Source organism: Homo sapiens, chromosome 9, assembly GCF_000001405.40.
Source record: "Homo sapiens chromosome 9, GRCh38.p14 Primary Assembly".
In the NCBI taxonomy this organism is placed as follows: Eukaryota; Metazoa; Chordata; class Mammalia; order Primates; family Hominidae; genus Homo; species Homo sapiens.
This window is the reverse complement of record NC_000009.12, coordinates 15,439,244-15,457,790: the sequence shown is the minus strand read 5'-3', so window position 1 is coordinate 15,457,790 and position 18,547 is coordinate 15,439,244. Positions and strand designations below refer to the sequence as shown.

Genomic DNA, 18,547 nt, shown 5'->3' with positions numbered 1-18,547 from the left:
TCCACAAAATACTTTCTCCAAGAGCATTTTGGATTAAACAAGGTTTTCTTTCCTTAGGCTTCTCAAATCCCTTTATGGTAATGTACACTGTGATCCCCCCTTAAGAGGGAGTTATTATGTAGAGCATTTCTTGAATGTATTCTACCAGAGAATCCTTGCTTTGCTTAACACTAGTACCTTTTATTTTTATTTATTTGAAATGGGGTCTTACTCTGTTACCCAGGCTGGAGTACGGTGGCATGATCTTGGCTTACTGTAGCCTCAAACTCCTGTGCTCAAGCAGTCCTCCCACCTCAGCCTCTCCAGTAGTTGGGACTACAAGCATGCACCACCACACCCAGATAATTTTTTAAGTTTTTGTAGAGACACGGTCTCACTATGTTGTCCAGGCTGGTCTCAAACTCCTGGTCTCAAGCGATCCTCCCACCTCAGCCTCCCAAGGTGCTGGGATTACAGCTGTGAGCCACGACACCTGGCTAACATTTAGTACCTTGTAATGAAACATAATTTGGGCAAAGCTACTCAGTGATATTTTACCTAGATTAACTGGTTGTTACAATGTGCCTCTTGTTTTTTTAATGTCTCCTTTATTAAAATCTAATTCTGACTCCTGGCATAATATGAATTGGTAGAATCTTAGTTTTAAGTATCAGAATTATGAAACCTTTAAGAAGTTTCATAATTTTTATTAAAAAAGAAATGGAAGTCAATCTCTACTCTGCCACTAATCAGCTCCATGGCTTTGGGTAAATCCTTTAAATGATGACAGACTTCAGATTCTTCTGAAAGATGAAAGGACTACACAAAATTGTTCTAAAGGTCTCTAACAATTCTAAAATTTGATTTTTTTAAAATTAAAACTTTCACCATCAGAAAATAATTAACCTTTTGATAGTTGGTATTATGGAATGGCAATGAATGATTAAATCCACCTGTAAGATAAAAATGACTTCTATAAATGGCCTTTTAAAAAGCCCTACATTGCATACTCTTAATAAATGTAAACCATTTAAAAAAATAAAAGGGCAGATGTGGTGGCTCACGCCTGCAATCCCAGCACTTTGGGAGGCCAAGGCAGGAGGATCGCTTGAGCTCAGGAGTTCAAGACCAGCCTAGGAAACAAAGTGAGACCCTGTCTCTACAAAAAATAGAAAAATTGGCCAGGCATGGTGGCATATGCCTATAATCTCAGCTATGGGAAAGACTGAGGGAAGACGACTACTTCAGCCCAGGAGGTTGAGGCTGCATTGAGCCATGATTTTGCCACTGCACTCCAACCTGAGCAACAGAGTGACATCCCCTCTCAAGAAAAAAAAAAAAGTGTAAATTGTTTGTCTTTGACACTCAAACAAATCATGTTTCTTTTGTTGATCACTGTATCAAGAAGTTACCATGAGTTTAATGGTCATGTTTTTATCCTTCAGCCTTGGAATCACGTTGTTTATAGAAATAGGCCTACACTATAAGAAATGTACGGAAAAGGCCAGGCGCAGTGGCTCTTGCCTGTAATCCCAGCACTTTGGGAGGCCGACATGGGCGGATCACCTGAGGTCAGGAGTTCGACACCAGCCTGGCCAACATGGTGAAACCCCGTCTCTACTAAAAATACAAAAATTAGGCCTGGCATGGTGGCTCACGCCTGTAATCCCAGCACTTTGGGAGGCTGAGGTGGGCGGATCACCTGAGGTCGGGAGTTCGAGACCAGCCTGACCAACATGGTGAAACCCTGTCTCTACTAAAAATACAAAATTAGCTGGGCGTGGTGGCGCATGCCTGTAATCCCAGCTACTCGGGAGGCTGAGGCAGAAGAATTGCCTGAACCTGGGAGGCAGAGGTTGTGGTGAGCCGAGATCACGCCACTGCACTCCAGCTGGGACAACAAGAGCGAAACTCGGTCTCAAAAAAATAAATAAATAATACAAAAATTAGCCGGACAAGGTGGCACGTGCCTGTAATCCCAGCTACTTGGGAGGCTAAGGCATGAGAATTGCTTCAACCTAGGAGACAGAGGTTGCGGTGAGCTGAGATCATGCCACTGCATTCCAGCCTAGGCAACAGAGCGAAACTCCGTCTCAAAAAAAAAAAAAGAAAAATATATGAAAAATAAGGCCATCAGAGAGAATAGGGGATTGCCTTCCATCTTATGTTTATTACAAGGCCAGCACATTTTCCCACATTTGAAAGGAAGAGCAGGCAGAACAGCTTATATAATTTTTTTTTTCTTTTGATACAGTCTTGCTCTGTCACCCAGGATGGAGTGCAATGGCACGATCTTGGCTCATTGCAACCTCCGCTTCCCGGGTTCAAGTGATTCTCGTGCCTCACTCTCCCAAGTAGCTGGGACTACAGACGCCCATCACCACACCTGGCTAATTTTTGTATTTTTAGTAGAGACAGGATTTCACCATGTTGGCCAGGCCGGTCTTGAACTCCTGACTGCAAGTAATCTGGCCACCTTGGCCTCCCGAAGTGCTGGGATTACAGGCATGAGCCACCATGCCAGGCTGCTGATATAAAATTTTAATAACATCAAAGACATAAATGTACTGTCTATAATTTTAAAAGTCATATAAATCCAAGGTTTATGTATTCTTCTGGCTCTTGCCTCCCCATTCTTCTTCCCTAGGGGCAATTGTTTTCCATTCTTAATTGTTTGTTTAGAATTTAGCTCCTCAACTTCTCACCACAGAACTACCATAATTTTGGTTAAACAGATATTTAATTCAGGACGAATTACTGCTACTTCTACCTAAGCCACACAGTTGACATCTGTTGGACGACATTTTGTTTTGTAGCTATTAATCTATTAATTCTCTCCCATTTGCATTTGCTTAATTTTCTTATTTATTTATTTTTTGATATGGAGTCTTGCTCTGTCACCCAAGCTGGAGTGCAGTGGCACGATCTCAGCTCACTGCATGCTCCACCTCCCGGGTTCACGCCATTCTCCTGCCTCAGCCTCCCGAGTAGCTAGGACTACAGGTGCCCACCACCACGCCTGGCTAATTTTTGTATTTTTAGTAGAGACGCTTTCACTGTGTTAGCCAGCATGGTCTCGATCTCCTGACCTCGTGATCTGCCCGCCTTGGCCTCCCAAAGTGCTGGGATTACAGGCGTGAGCCACCGGGCCTGGCCCATTTGCTTAATTTTCAGTGTACCTGTCACGAATTCAGTCCCCTATTTTCTGACAGAACAGTGAACAACCGGGAGTCTACCAGTTCTATTTTTCCTCCCAGACATCCTTCCTGAGTTCTGTATGCTCCTGGCTCCAGACCCTTGATCAAATCTCTGGGTCTGGTGTAAAGCTCTCACACTGGGATTTCACTTTTCCATAATTCTGAGAATCCCTTTTATGTCTATTTAACCTATTCTGTGTTGCATTCCATGTCTTTCTTGTTCATGGTTTACACTTTCTGTGAAGCACTTTTACATCTTCTGATAGTTTCCTGAGATGGAGTGCATGGGATACAAAATTTTGGAGAAGAGTCAGTAAGACCAAAAATGGAAGCAGGGACTTTCTGAAAGCATCAGCTTCTTTCTTTTTTTCTTTTTTTTTTTTTTGAGACAAGGTCTCACTCTGTCACCCAGGCTGGAATGCAGCGGCATGATCATAGCTCACTGCAGCCTTGACCTCCTGGTCTCAAGCAATCCTCACGTTTTAACCTGAGTAGCTGGGATTACAGGCACACACCACTATGCTCAGCTAATTTTTGTATTCTTTGTAGAGAGGGTTTCACCATATTGTTCAGGCTGGTCTCGAACTCCTGGGCTCAATTTGCCCACTTCAGTCTCCCAAAGTGTTGGGATTATAGGCGTGAGCCACTGCACCCGGCAGGCATCAGTTTCTATTAGTGGTATAATAAATTACTAATTAATACCAGTAATTACTGGTTTCTAATTACTGGTCAAACACAGGTACATTATTGTTCCACAAAAAACTTTTAAATGGTCTCTCATAAGGAATCAAACCAGCAATGGAGCAGGGTTTATTCGTACATAGTATTCCTTCTTAAACTGTGATTTCCTAAATAAAGAGGAAATGAATAGCCTTATTCATGGAATAGAGCTATTAGCTGTCTAAAATTTATAACTCATCCCTAAGTCTTATTTTAGACTATCTTAGCTCCTTCCCAATTTAAATCTTTGTCAAAGCATTAAGACTTCACATTTGTCAAATATTAGAATTACTCTTCCTCCAATTCCCTTTTATCTTCTTCAAATTTTGGCAAAAAGACAAACCTAAAAATAAAGTTGCAATGTTATATATAAATGGATAAGTACTATATCTGAATAACAGCTATTTAATACAAAATAGAGATACTTTTTAAAGTATTAACAGATTTTTAACCGTCTAATAGTAAAGTATTTCTTAAAGATTTTCCAAAATAATGAACAATAGAGGATGCAAATGGATGGAAAGAGTTGGTATTTGCATGGAAAGAAGACAGTATTTTTGCTGCTCCCAAGCCAAGTTGCAATGGTTATTACTTTTACTCCTCTTATTTTTAAAAAAACTATCTCTGGTTTTGTACTCTGAAATAAAGAAAAAAAAAGGTAACAAAATGTCTTAAGTGCTGTCACCTACCTTATGTCAGTAATGACAATGACATGTTCACAGTCTCCCTGATGACAGTATAAGTAAGGAAAACCCAGTTTAATACACAAGTCATTGAAGGTGAAATCTTCCATTCTAGCAGTCTGAAACTTTCCATAGCCTCTATCATGGGACTCTGACCACTCAATGATAGTTCTGAGGGGGGAAAAGGCAAGGATATATCATTTTTCCACAAAAACTTAAAAACTACAGAAAACAGTTTGTGATTGCAGTAATTCACATTAACCTAGCTCACCCAACTAACTGGACAGTTGCCATCTTGAGATGAAGACCAAAATGTTTGACACATGTTGAGATTAGGAACGCTGAATTTTCATAAGGGATCAGTTTTCTGCAGGTTACATGATGTGCATCACTTTAGCTTAAATGCAAAATGTGTAACAATGCCACTCATTGTGTTTTGAAAAATATTTTTCACAAAATGTTAGTATGTAATGAGATTAATATTTCAAATACTTCTTAGTTTCAATGTTTAATATTATAAATAGTGATAGTTATAACCCACATAAGCAGTAGCTCATTGGGGTCTTCAATTATTTATAGTATAAAGAAATGCAAGGCTGGGCATGGTGGCTCACACCTGTAATCCCAGCACTTCGGGAGGCCGAGGTGGGCGGATCGCTTGAGGTCCAGAGTTCGACTCCAGCCTGACCAACATGGAAAAACCCCATCTCTACTAAAAATACAAAATCAGCCGGGCGTGGTGGTGCCTGCCTGTAATCCCAGCTACTGGGGAGGCTGAGGCAGGAGAATCGCTTGAAACTGGAAGGCAGAGGCTGTGGTGAGCCGAAATCGCGCCATTGCACTCCAGCCTGGGCAACAAGAGCGAAACTGTCTCAAAAAAAAAAAAAAATGCTGAAACCAATAGGTTTGAACTGTTGGGTTAGAATACAGATTAAAAATGGCTACAATATGCTGGGCATTGTGGCTCACACCTGTAACGTTAGCAGTTTGGGAGGCCGATGCAGTCGGCTTACTTGAGGCCAGGAGTTCAAGACCAGCCTGGCCAACATGTTGAAACCCTGTCTCTACTAAAAATACAAAAATTAGCTGGGCATGATGGCACACACCTGTAGTCCCAGCTACTTGGCAGGCTGAGGCACGAGAATGGCTTGACCTGGGAGGCAGAGGCTGCAGTGAGCTGAGATCGTGCCACCATACTCCAGACTGGGTGACAGAACGAGACTTTTTCATTTTTTTTTTTTAAAAAGGGCAACAATAATATATATACTTGTATACTGTAATTGTTAAGACATTGATAATGAAAGTATGGTCTCATTAAAATGAGCTTACAGATTTTTCCTATATTATGTACTTAAGCAATATATATATATCACCATCACCTAGGGCAAACAATAGTATATGCTGGATAGGCAGAAAAAATAGTGAAAGGTTAATTTGCCACTATTACTTATATGTAAAGGCCAGAGACTAATAATGCATGTTAAGGTGATTTATTTATTTTTTTTTTAGAGACAGAGTCTTGCTATATTACCCAGGCTGGAAAGCAGTGGGTATTCACAGGCGAGATTATAGCATGCTATACAGCCTTGAACTCTTGGCCTCAAAAGATTCTCCTGCCTCAGCCTCCGGAGTGGCTGGGACTACTGTGTCTGGCTAATTTTTTTTGGATGTATGTAATGCAAAAGACAAGATTTATCAATAATTCCTTGGCAAAGGTCCTTAATAGGCCAATAATAGGATTTGTGGAGATAACACTACTTTGATAACTAGAAATAGGAAAGACTTTGAGAAGATTTTTGGAAACTATACCTGCTCAAATCTCTGCATTCTGGGTATCTTTTATCATTATAAAATGTTCCTTCAAAATAAAAGAAGGCTGATTTGTATAGGTCCTACAAGAAAACAGATTGTATTGAGAGAAAATCAACTATTAACAATGATGAAATTGCTCTAAGTATTAATTCAAAATAGATATATCATAAAATCACACTAATATGTGTTAAAAAACTGCTACTATTTTCAATTTTACCCTATTGCTGTTATAATCACTACGTTTGATCTAAATGTGTATATTCTCCTGAGATTCATGAAAGGAACCCAATTAGAAATCAAATAAACATCATTATTTTATTATACTTACAGAGCAGTAAGTAGTGTTGGATACTAGAACTAAAACCTAAACAAAGTCCTATCTTTAATGTTTCCCCAGTAGTAACAATGATCATCGAGCTATGTTTTTCTGGCATTTTTTTGTATTTGCAATGTTTTTACAAAAATTCTCTCTTTATATTTTCAGTAACTCTTAGGCAGACAGAATCTGAATTTCTATTTTTACTCAAGCAATCTTGCCCCAGGTACTGTAGTTGTACCACAACTGGTTGGAACCTTCAAGGGTTCTTAACTCATTCTACCACAGTGTCCGTCAAAGGAGTGGCTCTCAATCCTGACTGCAAAATCAAATCACAAAAACACCAAACACAAGTGTCAACTCAGACTCATTAATTAAGAATCTTTGGGGATCAGTATTTTTCCAAAGCTCTCTAGAAAAAAACATGCAACCAGAGTTGAGAAGCACTCTGTTAAACTGGTCCTTCACCTTCTATTTAGACTCCTGAATGAGGGTCAGAAGACCTGAGTTCTTTTCCTTAATCTACCACTTACTAGCTTTGTGATTTTGGTATGTAGCAATCACTTCTCAGACCTGTTTTCTCATCTGTGAAATGAGAATAATAATATCTGCCACGATGTCTTACAGGATTGTGGTGAAGATCAAAAGCAATTTATGTATAGGAGATATGTTTCAGGTACTAAAATAATTTTACCGTAATATTTTAATTTTTCTCCTAGTTCTTTGAAGCTTCCATTTTTCTTTCTTGTCTTCATTCCCCCACTTACAGATTATCTTGTGTTCGCATCAGACACTCCTGCAAGACTGGCTATGTTGTTTCTTCTTGGACCAGTCACTAAATCTCACTCACACTGTTTTCCCATGTAAAATGTGAGTAAAGCCTTTACTTTCCTCATAGGTTGTTATGGAGATTATGTACATTAAGTATAATGTACTTAATGTCATATGACTAGCTGCTACAATACAAAATCTGCCACTTAATATATTTCTACACCCTCAAAGAGGTAAGCAGGGTCCAAAATAAAGGTTCTAAAAAAATAACTATTATTTTGGAAACAAAATGAAGTTTAATATATATGTGTTTTACAAAACACTGCCATAAAACTTCATCTTAGGTGATTTAAGCAACTTACTATCTTTTGGCATAATTATTAATTACAAGGTGAACTCTAAAAGAACAAAAATGTTTTCCATTTAAATCAAAAGTCATCCACTAATAAACTTCCCTGACTGGCCTGGTGGCTCAGCACTTTGGGAGGCTGAGGTGGGCAGATCACCTGAGGTTGGGAGTTCAAGACCAGCCTGACCAACATGGAGAAACCCCATCTCTACTAAAAATACAAAAATTAGCCGGGCATGGTGGTGCATGCCTGTAATTCCAGCTACTCATGGGGCTGAGGCAGGAGAATCGTGTGAACCCGAGAGGCAGAGGTTGCAGTGAGCCGAGACGGTGCCATTGCACTCCAGCCTGGGCAAGAAGAGCAAAATTCTGTCTCAAAAAAAAAAAAAAAAAAAAAAAATATATATATATATATATATATATATATAATAATAATAGAAGAGACAGAAACAATATAACAGGAGATATGTAAACATTTTAAAATACAATTATGGGTTATTTAATCCCTGCTTAAAAAACTTCCGAAGCTATCAGCAGCAATGTACAGACCAAGTAAATTGACAAAGCCTGGTTAAAACCTTCTGCTGGGCAACACAGTGAGTTGTTGCCCAGACTGGACTTGATTAAAAAACAGACAGACAAACATTCTCCAGGGTTTCCTGAAGGTAAGACCGATTCCCAGATCTGACTCAAACTGCTTTGAGCAATGTTCAGATGGTTGGAGTGAAGAGGGTAAATTCAGATTTTTCTTCTTAGACTGATCTTATTATTTAACAGTTACATCTTACGTTTTTTTTGACAAGGTTAAAAAACTTTGCAGAAGATTGCCACCGCTGCTTTAAAGAAAAATCTTGGCCAGGCACGGTGGCTCACACCTTGTAATCCCAGCACTTTAGGAGGCTGAGGCGGGTGGATCACCTGAAGTCAGGAGTTCGACACCAGCTTGGCCAACATGGTGAAACCCCGTTTCTACTAAAAAATACAAAAATTAACTGGGCGCAGTGGGGCCACCTGTAATCCCAGCTACTTGGGAGGCTGAAGCACGAGAATCACTTGAAACTGGGAGGTGAAAGTTGCAGTGAGCCGAGATTGCATCATCGCACTCCAGCCTGGGCAACAGAGCCCCATCCAAAAAAAAAAGAAAGAAAAAGATAAATCTCGTATTTCCTGCTCCGCGTAAAATTTTGAAATTCTACTTTTCTTATCCTATTGTTTCTCTCCAAAAGCACTGAGATGGCAACCCTGAAGAACCTAAATATCTAAAAACCATTTTCAGCATAACTCAACAGGTACTTAAGTGAAATCTACATGTGAGCCATATGCTAGTCTCCACACTAGTCACCAAAAACGAATATAGTCAGCCTGTGGAGCAGACGGACACACATTACACTGAATCAGCATACTGAAATACATACTACAATGGACAAAAGAAAAGGTGCCAGGGTAACAAAGAAAGGAGTCAAGAAAAATTGCATATAATTGGTGAGTTTTGAGCTGGGTTTGGAAATCTGAGGATGAACTCACAAAACGGATGAAGTAGGGAAAGGGCTTCCTACCATGTTCAAATACTCAGAGACATGAAAAAGTATGGTACACTGATGAAAATACACAAATTCACTATGGATGAATGAGGTGTAAAGGCAGCAAGTAAACAGTTCAGAAAGTTAATTTGGGAAGCATCATTATAAAAGGCCTTATATGTCAGCCTAGGGAGAAAAAAAAAAGTTAACATGAAACCTCAGTTATACCAACATTTATGTGGCTGGTGGAACAGGACCCAGGAAAAAAGGAGATTGTGTTGGTTCTTGTCCAAACACTATCTCCATCCTTGTTGTTCCAAATATCTTTTTACTTATCTCTAGGAGATGCTATCCCTCCCCTGAAATGGCCCTGTAAACCTGAGGCCCTCTGCCAGAGTTGTAGCAGGTTTAGTTCAATCCTGCCCTATGATGAAATGTGGAAGGGATCAAGGCCCTCCTGCTTTATTAGGTAAATGATCCTTTCTGAAAACATTGTGGGTAGCCAGTCTACCACACTGCTTCTTTCCATCCTTATCCAGGGGGTATGCAGGGCTTCTCTTTCCTTTTGAGAGCAACACATTGGGGAAACACCAGCAAGGACCAACTTCATATGCTCTCTCCTTGTTGGGTATTGGTCCTTGGGCAGCGAAAGGTGAAGAATGGGTGCTAACTATTTGAGGCTCTCAGGTCGACTCCAGCCTTTTGCTGGGCACAATCATGACAGATCACAACTCTGACAGAGCTTCAAACGAGTGAATGAACAGCAAAGTCATATGCTACAGTGAGGTCAAGTTACATAAAAATGGAAAAGTGACCAACTGCTTAGAAAATTAGGTGGTCACTATTGAGCTGAGATGGCGACACTGCACTCCAGCCTGGGCGGCAGAGCGAGACTCTGTCTCAAAAAAACAAAAAACAAAAAAAAACAAAAAAGAAAATTAGGTGGTCACTATTAGCCCAGAAGGAAAAGTCTCCATACAATAGTTTAGAAACAAATGAGAGATGAAGAAATCAAAACAGAGTCTAGCCTCTTCTTTGGAAAAGTTCCGGTGATAAAGGGAAGGAATGAGATAGTGTAGTTTGATGGAATCCCGCAGGAGAAGAAAAGGATTTACTGGGACATTTATGAACCAGCTAGAGTAATCGCTATTTTCTTAGCTTGTTATTTCCTTTTGTTTTATGGGAGGAAATCACCTTACTTTGCTGATGTGCTCAGGGGCTTGGTCAGGAGTGTTGCTGAATTCACCACCAATCTGGAGGTCACTGACACATCGAATTGAATCCCTCAGTTGTGTGAGTTTTTGACTGCCCAACACCAGCATTGTTTGGTATGGTTTGTGTTCTTTGTGCTAAAAGTCAAAGAATAAATAAGTGTTCATTTAGAGACAAAGCGATAAAACTACAAATCCTGTCATGACTAGATCAAAATTAAATTGCTGGTTTTCTTAATTTTAAATTGTCCCCATAACTTGATGCTCTGTATTTTCACATCCAATAATTATAGGGCCAAACTCATGGTCAAAATTGTTTACATCTCCCCTGTGATCCAGAGCCACTCTGAAACCACCTCCTTTATTACACACCAAGCCACTATTTCCCCTGGTATTCCCTCAACCTCAATCCACCCAGGGCCAAGCACCAGGCTACAAGGGACAGCCCCTCTGCCACCAAACCTACTGGAATTGTTCGAACTAGCCAATCCTAAACTGTTTACTCTTCCCTACCTTGTCTTTCCCACAGAAACCCCAATAAAAACTGTGGTCTATGCCTTCCCCTCTCCCCTTTCAGCCTCCTAAATGAGAATGATGCTTCTTCCTGTGGCCCTACATGGTGTGCCCCCTCCTCTAAGGAAATGTAATAAAAATCTCCTTTCAAAGGCATTATAGCCTCTCCATGTCATCACTCAGTCATCTCCATAAATTAGAATAGCATGGAATGTCCAAGCACAGTGGCTCATGCCTGTAATCCCAACACTTTGGGAGGCCGAAGCAGGAGGATTGCTTGAGCCTAGAAGTTCAAGATCAACCTGGGCAACATAGCAAAACCCCATCTCTACAAAAAATTTAAAGGTTAGCTGGGCGTTGTGATACATGCTTGTAGTCCTAGCTACTTGGGAGGCTGAGGCAGGAGGATTGCTCGAGCGAAGCTGCAGTGAGCCATGATTGTACTGCTGCACTCCAACCTAGGCAATGGAGCAAGGCCCTGTCTCAAAAACAAACAAACCAACAAAAATCCCATGGGTACAACTGACATACTCAGCCATGGAAATTTTCTGGTTTAAACTGAAGTTTATAATCAAGATGATACCAAACTGACATGAGCATTAAGATCCACTGGAATGTAACTTCATTTAGCAAGACTGTCTTAAAATTTCCTAAAAGTTACTTCATTGAGGTCAGGCAATCTATACTGTAACCTGAGGTTATAAACCCAGATTCATACTTTGGTTTGGTTTCTTTTTATGATTGGTCATTTGGGATCTTTTTCTGGGGAGAAGGGGGTGGCGGTGAGGGACAGTCTCATTTTGTCACCTAGGCTGGAGTGCCATGGCATGGTCTTGGCTCACTGCAGCCTTGACCTCCCGGGCTCAAGCAATCCTCCTTAGTAACTGGGACTACAGGCACACACCACCACACCTAGCTAGTTTTTGTATTTTTTGTAGAGATGAGGTTTTGCCACTTTGTCTAGGCTGATCTTGAACTCCTGAGCTCAAGTGATCAGCCCACCTCAGCCTTCCAAAGGTGCTGAGGATATAGGTGTGAGCCATTACACCCAGCCAGCAATTTGAGATCTTAATCAAATAAGATTAGTATTAACTACATCCCAGATGCTTTGTAAAAGCCTATTTATTCATAAGTGCAACTTATATATATATTAATATTTCAATGACAACTCATCAGAATTTATGACACATCTATTTAAGGAATCAAGAATATATACACTCTGGCCTAGGAAAGAGTTCTTTCTCCTAAGAGATTCCTAGATACCCTTGACTTAATAATGTTCTGTATTTTCATCAAAGAAGAGCTGTCTCTGGTTAGTTCAATAACTTCCCAAGTATTCTAAATTAGTGAACATAGGCTAATTCCTCCATTAGCCACCTATTCTGCAAAAATCCCTCAAGAATTAGTAGAATTAGAATCATTATGGATTTACATATACTTTCAGTTGCTTCTAGTGCAGAAATCAGGCATATATTTCAATACTATACCTGTAATCCTACTGGATCGAGAGATTGTTTGAAATTTGACCTTATTTCCAATATTCCTTATTAGAACAGATGGCACAAGATTATAGATTGTCAACTCTAAAAATAAGACATCAGATAGGCAGCATATGCTTGCATTTATTAGACAGGGTCTCACGCTGTCTCCTAGGCTGGAGTTCAGTGGTGCAATCATAGCTCGCTTACAACCTTGAATTCCTAGGCTCAAGTGATCTCCCCACCTCAGCCTCCCAAGTAGTTGGGATTACAGATGTGCACCACCATGCCTAGCTAATTTTTTTGATTTTTAGTAGAGACAAGGTCTCACTGTGTTACCCAGGTTGGTCTCAAACTCCTGGCCTCAAGTGATCCTCCTGCCTTGGCCTCCCAAAGTGCTGAGATTACAGGCATGAGCCACCACTCCCAGAGTGTTTATTTTTAATGTAAGCATAGGAATATGACTCTTCAAATAATTAAACACTTTTACAAAAGTTACTATTATCCATAAAATCCAAAAGGTTTTACTACTTACCTTATGAAATATAACAGGGTACAAGATATTCACAGATAGGATAAGCTCCCCTTCTTCAATCATGTCTGCTGAATTTTCAGGCTTTTTTCCTATGGCATGTGACTCCTGAAGAAAGAAAAAGAGACACTGAAATCAGATACTATAACTCAGATAAGATGCAGTGTGGTACAATGGCTATCAGCAAGGGATCGAGTCAAGCAGCCTTGGGTTTGACACCTAATTATACTCTGGGAAAACTGTTAAGACATCTCTAAGCTTTAGTTTCATCTTCTTTCAATAAACAAACAGAACCAGAAAATACTTACTGTACTGTTGCTGGGAATGTGTACACAATGCATCTGATAAGATGTGTGGTACTGAGTACTTAGCAGTTGATGAGCAAACAGGAGTATCAACTAATGTTGGTATAACACTGGCATTTCCAGTTACATTTTTACATTCCTTATCAAATATTCCTGTGAAAGCTATTTTACAGATAAAGCTCAGAGGTTCAGTGATTTACTCAAGGTCATACCAGAGTTAGGACGCAAATACGGATTTGTTTGGCTCTAAACCCTATGCTTTTTATAACACCATGACATCTTTAATATATTTTGATCTTTTATGTGTGCTAAATTAATATAAAATAGGGGCCAGGCTGAACTGGTTTAGATGCAGGAGTTTTAAAAATAAGTGGGAATCATGTCACAAAATAGAGTAGGCAGCTCCAGGGCCTAGTCCCTCTAACAGAAGCAACCAGTAAGCTGGAATGAGAGACTGGAATAAACTATTTGGGAACTCTGGAACCTGATGGGACACTTACAACAATCAGGGGAGTGTTTGATGACGAGAGAAGTTGCTGCTTTTCATTAGTAAGCACTGTGTGCAAATCAACTACCACCCTCACTCCTTCGCCCCTCGCCGATGAGACAGGCAGCTGGAATTCCTGGAGAAGCTGGCTGGTGCCAAGGCAGGCAGTGGGGACCTGTTCTCTAAGAACTGAGGATTTTATGTTTTGGTTGGTCTGGTGATGCCGAGTGCCTGGTCCAGGTACGTGCATTGGTTTTGACCCTCTTGGTGGCAGCAGCTTCCCCCAGCAGGATCTATATTGGAAGACTTACAGACAAGATGCTTTTTTTCTTTTTGGAGCCAGGTATTTAAGGAAATCTTTGTCAGATCACTGATTGACCGCAGAGAGAATGAAACAGAAACATCAGTGACCACGTACAACAAGTAATACACGTGCTACAATAATCGTTTGGAAAAGTCACAGGCAGCTCCAGCCATGCACAAGAGAAAATATACCTAGAATGTCTAGTTCTCAAAAAAACATATAAATCACAAAAAAAGAGGAAAGTATGGACAACTCTTAGGAAAATAAGAATTTGACAAAACCAACCCTGAGGAAGCCCAGACATTGGAATTACTAGTCAAAGTGTCAATTAATTATTCCTACAGGCAATAGTTACATTCGCACATAAATAAAAGTCCACTAAACAAAGACGTTAGCTCCCTCTCCCTCTCTCCCTCTCCCCCTCTCCCCACGGTCTCCCTCTCCCTCTCTCTCCACAGTCTCCCTCTGATGCCGAGCCAAAGCTGGACTGTACTGCCGCCATCTCGGCTCACTGCAACCTCCCTGCCTGATTCTCCTGCCTCAGCCTGCCGAGTGCCTGGGATTGCGGGTGCGCGCCGCCACGCCTGACTGGTTTTCATATTTTTTTGGTGGAGACGGGGTTTCGCTGTGTTGGCCAGGCTGGTCTCCAGCTCCTAACTGCGAGTGATCTGCCAGCCTCAGCCTCCCGAGGTGCCGGGATTGCAGACGGAGTCTCCTTCACTCAGTGCTCAATGTTGCCCAGGCTGGAGTGCAGTGGCGTGATCTCGGCTTGCTACAACCTCCACCTCCCAGCCGCCTGCCTTGGCCTCCCAAAGTGCCGAGATTGCAGCCTGTACCCGGCCGCCACCCCGTCTGGCAAGTGAAGAGCGTCTCTGCCTGGCTGCCCATCGTCTGGGATGTGAGGAGCCCCTCTGCCTGGCTGCCCAGTCTGGGAAGTGCGGAGCGTCTCTTCCTGGCCGCCATCTCGTCTAGGAAGTGAGGAGCGTCTCTGCCCGGCCGCCCATTGTCTGAGATGTGGGGAACGCCTCTGCCCCGCCGCCCCGTCTGGGATGTGAGGAGCGCCTCTGCCCGGCCGCCACCCGATCTGGGAGGTGAGGAGCGTCTCCGCCCAGCCGCCCGGTCTGAGAAGTGAGGAGCCCCTCCGCCCAGCAGCCGCCCCGTCTGAGAAGTGAGGAGGCCCTCCGCCCGGCAGCCGCCCCGTCTGGGAGGTGAGGAGCCCCTCCGCCCAGCAGCTGCCCTGTCTGGGAGGTGAGGAGCGTCTCTGCCCGGCAGCCGCCCCGTCCAGCCAGCCTCCCTGTCCGGGAGGGAGGTGGGGGGCAGCCCCCGCCCGGCCAGCCGCCCCATCCAGGAGGGAGGTTGGGGGCAGCCCCCGCCCGGCCAGCCGCCCCGTCCCGGAGGGAGGTGGGGGGCAGCCCCCGCCCGGCCAGCCGCCCCGTCTGGGAGGGAGGTTGGGGGCAGCCCCCACCCAGCCAGCCGCCCCGTCCCGGAGGGAGGTGGGGGGCAGCCCCCGCCTGGCCAGCCGCCCCGTCCGGGAGGGAGGTTGGGGGGCAGCCCCTGCCTGGCCAGCTGCCCCATCCAGGAGGTGGGGAGCGCCTCCGCCTGGCCGCCGCCCTGTCCGGGAGGTGGGGGGGCGCCTCTGCCTGGCCGCCCCTTCTGGGAAGTGAGGAGCTCCTCTGCCCGGCCGCCACCACGTCTGGGAGGTGTACCCAACAGCTCATTGAGAACGGGCCATGATGACGATGGCGGTTTTGTCGAATAGAAAAGGGGGAAATGTGGGGAAAAGATAGAGAAATCAGATTGTTGCTGTGTCTGTGTAGAAAGAAGTAGACATAGGAGATTCCATTTTGTTCTGTACTAAGAAAAATTCTTCTGCCTTGGGATGCTGTTAATCTATAACCTTACCCCCAACCCCCTGCTCTCTGAAACATGTGCTGTCTCCACTCAAGGTTAAATGGATTAAGGGCGGTGCAAGATGTGCTTTGTTAAACAGATGCTTGAAGGCAGCATGCTCCTTAAGAGTCATCACCACTCCCTAATCTCAAGTACCCAGGGACACAAACACTGCAGAAGGCCGCAGGGTCCTCTGCCTAGGAAAACCAGAGACCCTTGTTCACTTGTTTATCTGCTGACCTTCCCTCCACTATTGTCCTATGACCCTGCCAAATCCCCCTCCTCGAGAAACACCCAAGAATGATCAATAAATACTAAAAAAAAAAAAAAAAAAAAAAAAGAAAAGGGAACTCTTGCACACTGTTGGCAAGGATGCAAATTGATACAGCTATTACGGAAAACAATACGGAGGTCTCTCAAAAAATTAAAAGTAGAACTACTACATGATTCAGTCATCCCACTTCAGGGTATATAAATGAAATAAAATGAAGAAAATGAAATTAAAAAAATAATAATAACGTTAAATAAAAAAAAAAGACGTTACAGCAACTGACTTAAATGTGCTCAATGAGTACCCCAGAAATTTGTACAATCATTATGTATCAACTTTAAAAATGTGTTCAGTTAGCTAAAGGAAACCAAATACTTAAAGAAAATCAGATTCCTCAATAAGATTAACAGGAGTTTTCTCATCAGAAAACATGGAGGTTAAGAAACCAGAGAATGGGCAGATAGACGGATGGACTGACTGACCAATTTTTTTTTTTTTTTTTTTGAGACGGAGTCTCACTCTGTTGCCCAAGCTGGAGTGCAGTGGCGCTATCTCGGCTCACTGCAAGCTCCGCCTCCCGGGTTCATGCCATTCTCCTGCCTCAGCCTCCCAAGTAGCTGGGACTACAGACACTCGCCACCGCGCCCAGCTAATTTTTTGTATTTTTAGTAGAGACGGGGTTTCACTGTGTTAGCCAGGATGGTCTCAATCTCTTGACCTCGTGATCCGCCCGCCTCGGCCTCCCAAAGTGCTGGGATTACAGGCGTGAGCCACCGCGCCCGGCCCTGATTTTTTAAATCTATCTATCTATGTAGCCTAGATTGGCCTCAAACTCTTGGGATCAAGTGCTCCTTCTGCCTCAACCTTCTCAGTAACTGAGACTATGGGAACCCACCACTGTGTTCAGCTTTTAAATTTTTTTACTTTTGTTTTTCTTTTTTGGGTGACATATTTAAACCCATGAAAGAAAAAAAACAAAACCTGTCAGCCAAGAATTCTGTATTTGGCAAAACTATCCTTCAGGAATGAAGGAGAAATTAAGACATTTGCAGATAAACAAAAGCTAGGGGAATTAATTACTACCAGCAGACCTGACCTGTAAGAAGTGTTAAAGAGGATTCTTCAGGCTGAAATGAAAAGACACTAGACAGTAAATTGAAGCCATAAGAAGAAATAAAGAATACTGCTAAAGGGAACAACACAGGTAAATATAGAAGCCAGTATTATTGTACTTTTGGTTTGTAACTCACTCCTCTACGATTTTTCTGTTTTTCCTATATGATTGCAAAATAAATGGATTAAACAATACTTACAAGGTTATGTTAATGGACACACAATATATAAAGACATAATCTGTGACAACCCAAAGAGGGACAGACAAAGATGTGGAAGCAGAGTATTTGAATATTATAGAAACAAAACTGACACAAATGTTCAACAATGATGGGATTATGCCCCAATAAACCCCATAAATAAAATACATCACAAGTGGAAAATGCATTTAAGACCCCAATAAACCCATCATAAAGTCAAAACATCCTAAGTCAAACCACAGTAGGTTGAGGACTGTGTATAATTAAAAGTAAGTTGTTTCAATTTTAAGATTTAATTGTAATCCTGGCTGGGCACAGTGGCTCACACCTGTAATCTCAGCACTTTGGGAGACTGAGGCAGGTGGATCACTTGAGGTTAGGAGTTCCAGACTAGCCTGGCCAACATGGTGAAACCCTGCCTCTACAAAAATACAAAAATTAGCCGGGTGTGGTGGTGGGTGCTTGTAGTTCCAGCTACTCGGGAGGCTGAGGCACAAGATTCACTTGAACCCAGGAGGCAGAAATTACAGTGAGCCGAGATCGGGCCACTGCACTCCAGCCTGGGTGACAGAGTGAGACTCTGTCTCAAAAAAAACAAAGTAATCCTTAAGTTACAGAAAAATAAGATGTTTTGGCATGTGTTTGTAGTCCCAGCTATCAGAAAGCTGATGTGGGAGTATTACTTGAGCCTAAGAGTTTGAGGCCAGCCTGGGGAACAGAGCAAGACCCACCTCTAAAAACAAAATTTTTTAAGGTTTCAATAGACAAAGAAGGATATTATATATTGGCAAAAGATGCCATCCAGCAAGAAGATATATACAATTATAAACTTATATAAAGCCAACAGAACTCTAAAACATAAGAAGCATGGGAGACCAAGGTGGGCAGATTGCTTG

At 42.3% G+C, this 18,547-nt stretch overlaps 1 protein-coding gene across 25 annotated transcripts in view; it reads right to left on the bottom strand.

The window, feature by feature from the left end:
- SNAPC3 (small nuclear RNA activating complex polypeptide 3) overlaps nucleotides 1-18,547 on the bottom strand; it is a 43,860-nt gene that overhangs the window by 8,945 nt on the left and 16,368 nt on the right. For 8 of the 25 annotated variants that reach the window (NR_161435.2, NR_161433.2, NR_161434.2 and 5 more), the window contains 4 exons: nucleotides 13,085-13,189; nucleotides 10,547-10,696; nucleotides 6,389-6,471; nucleotides 4,586-4,750 (listed from right to left, as the gene is read on the bottom strand). Coding sequence is in view for 7 of the 25 variants with exons in the window: in XM_017015056.3 (XP_016870545.1) it covers nucleotides 4,586-4,750; nucleotides 6,389-6,471; nucleotides 10,547-10,696; nucleotides 13,085-13,189 (503 nt within the window). In the remaining 18 variants the exon portion in view is untranslated. Of the gene's footprint in view, nucleotides 1-4,585; nucleotides 4,751-6,388; nucleotides 6,472-10,541; nucleotides 10,697-13,084; nucleotides 13,190-18,547 lie in introns of all 25 variants that reach the window. The other 17 variants (NR_161447.2, NR_161446.2, NR_161438.2 and 14 more) reach the window with 9 other exon arrangements.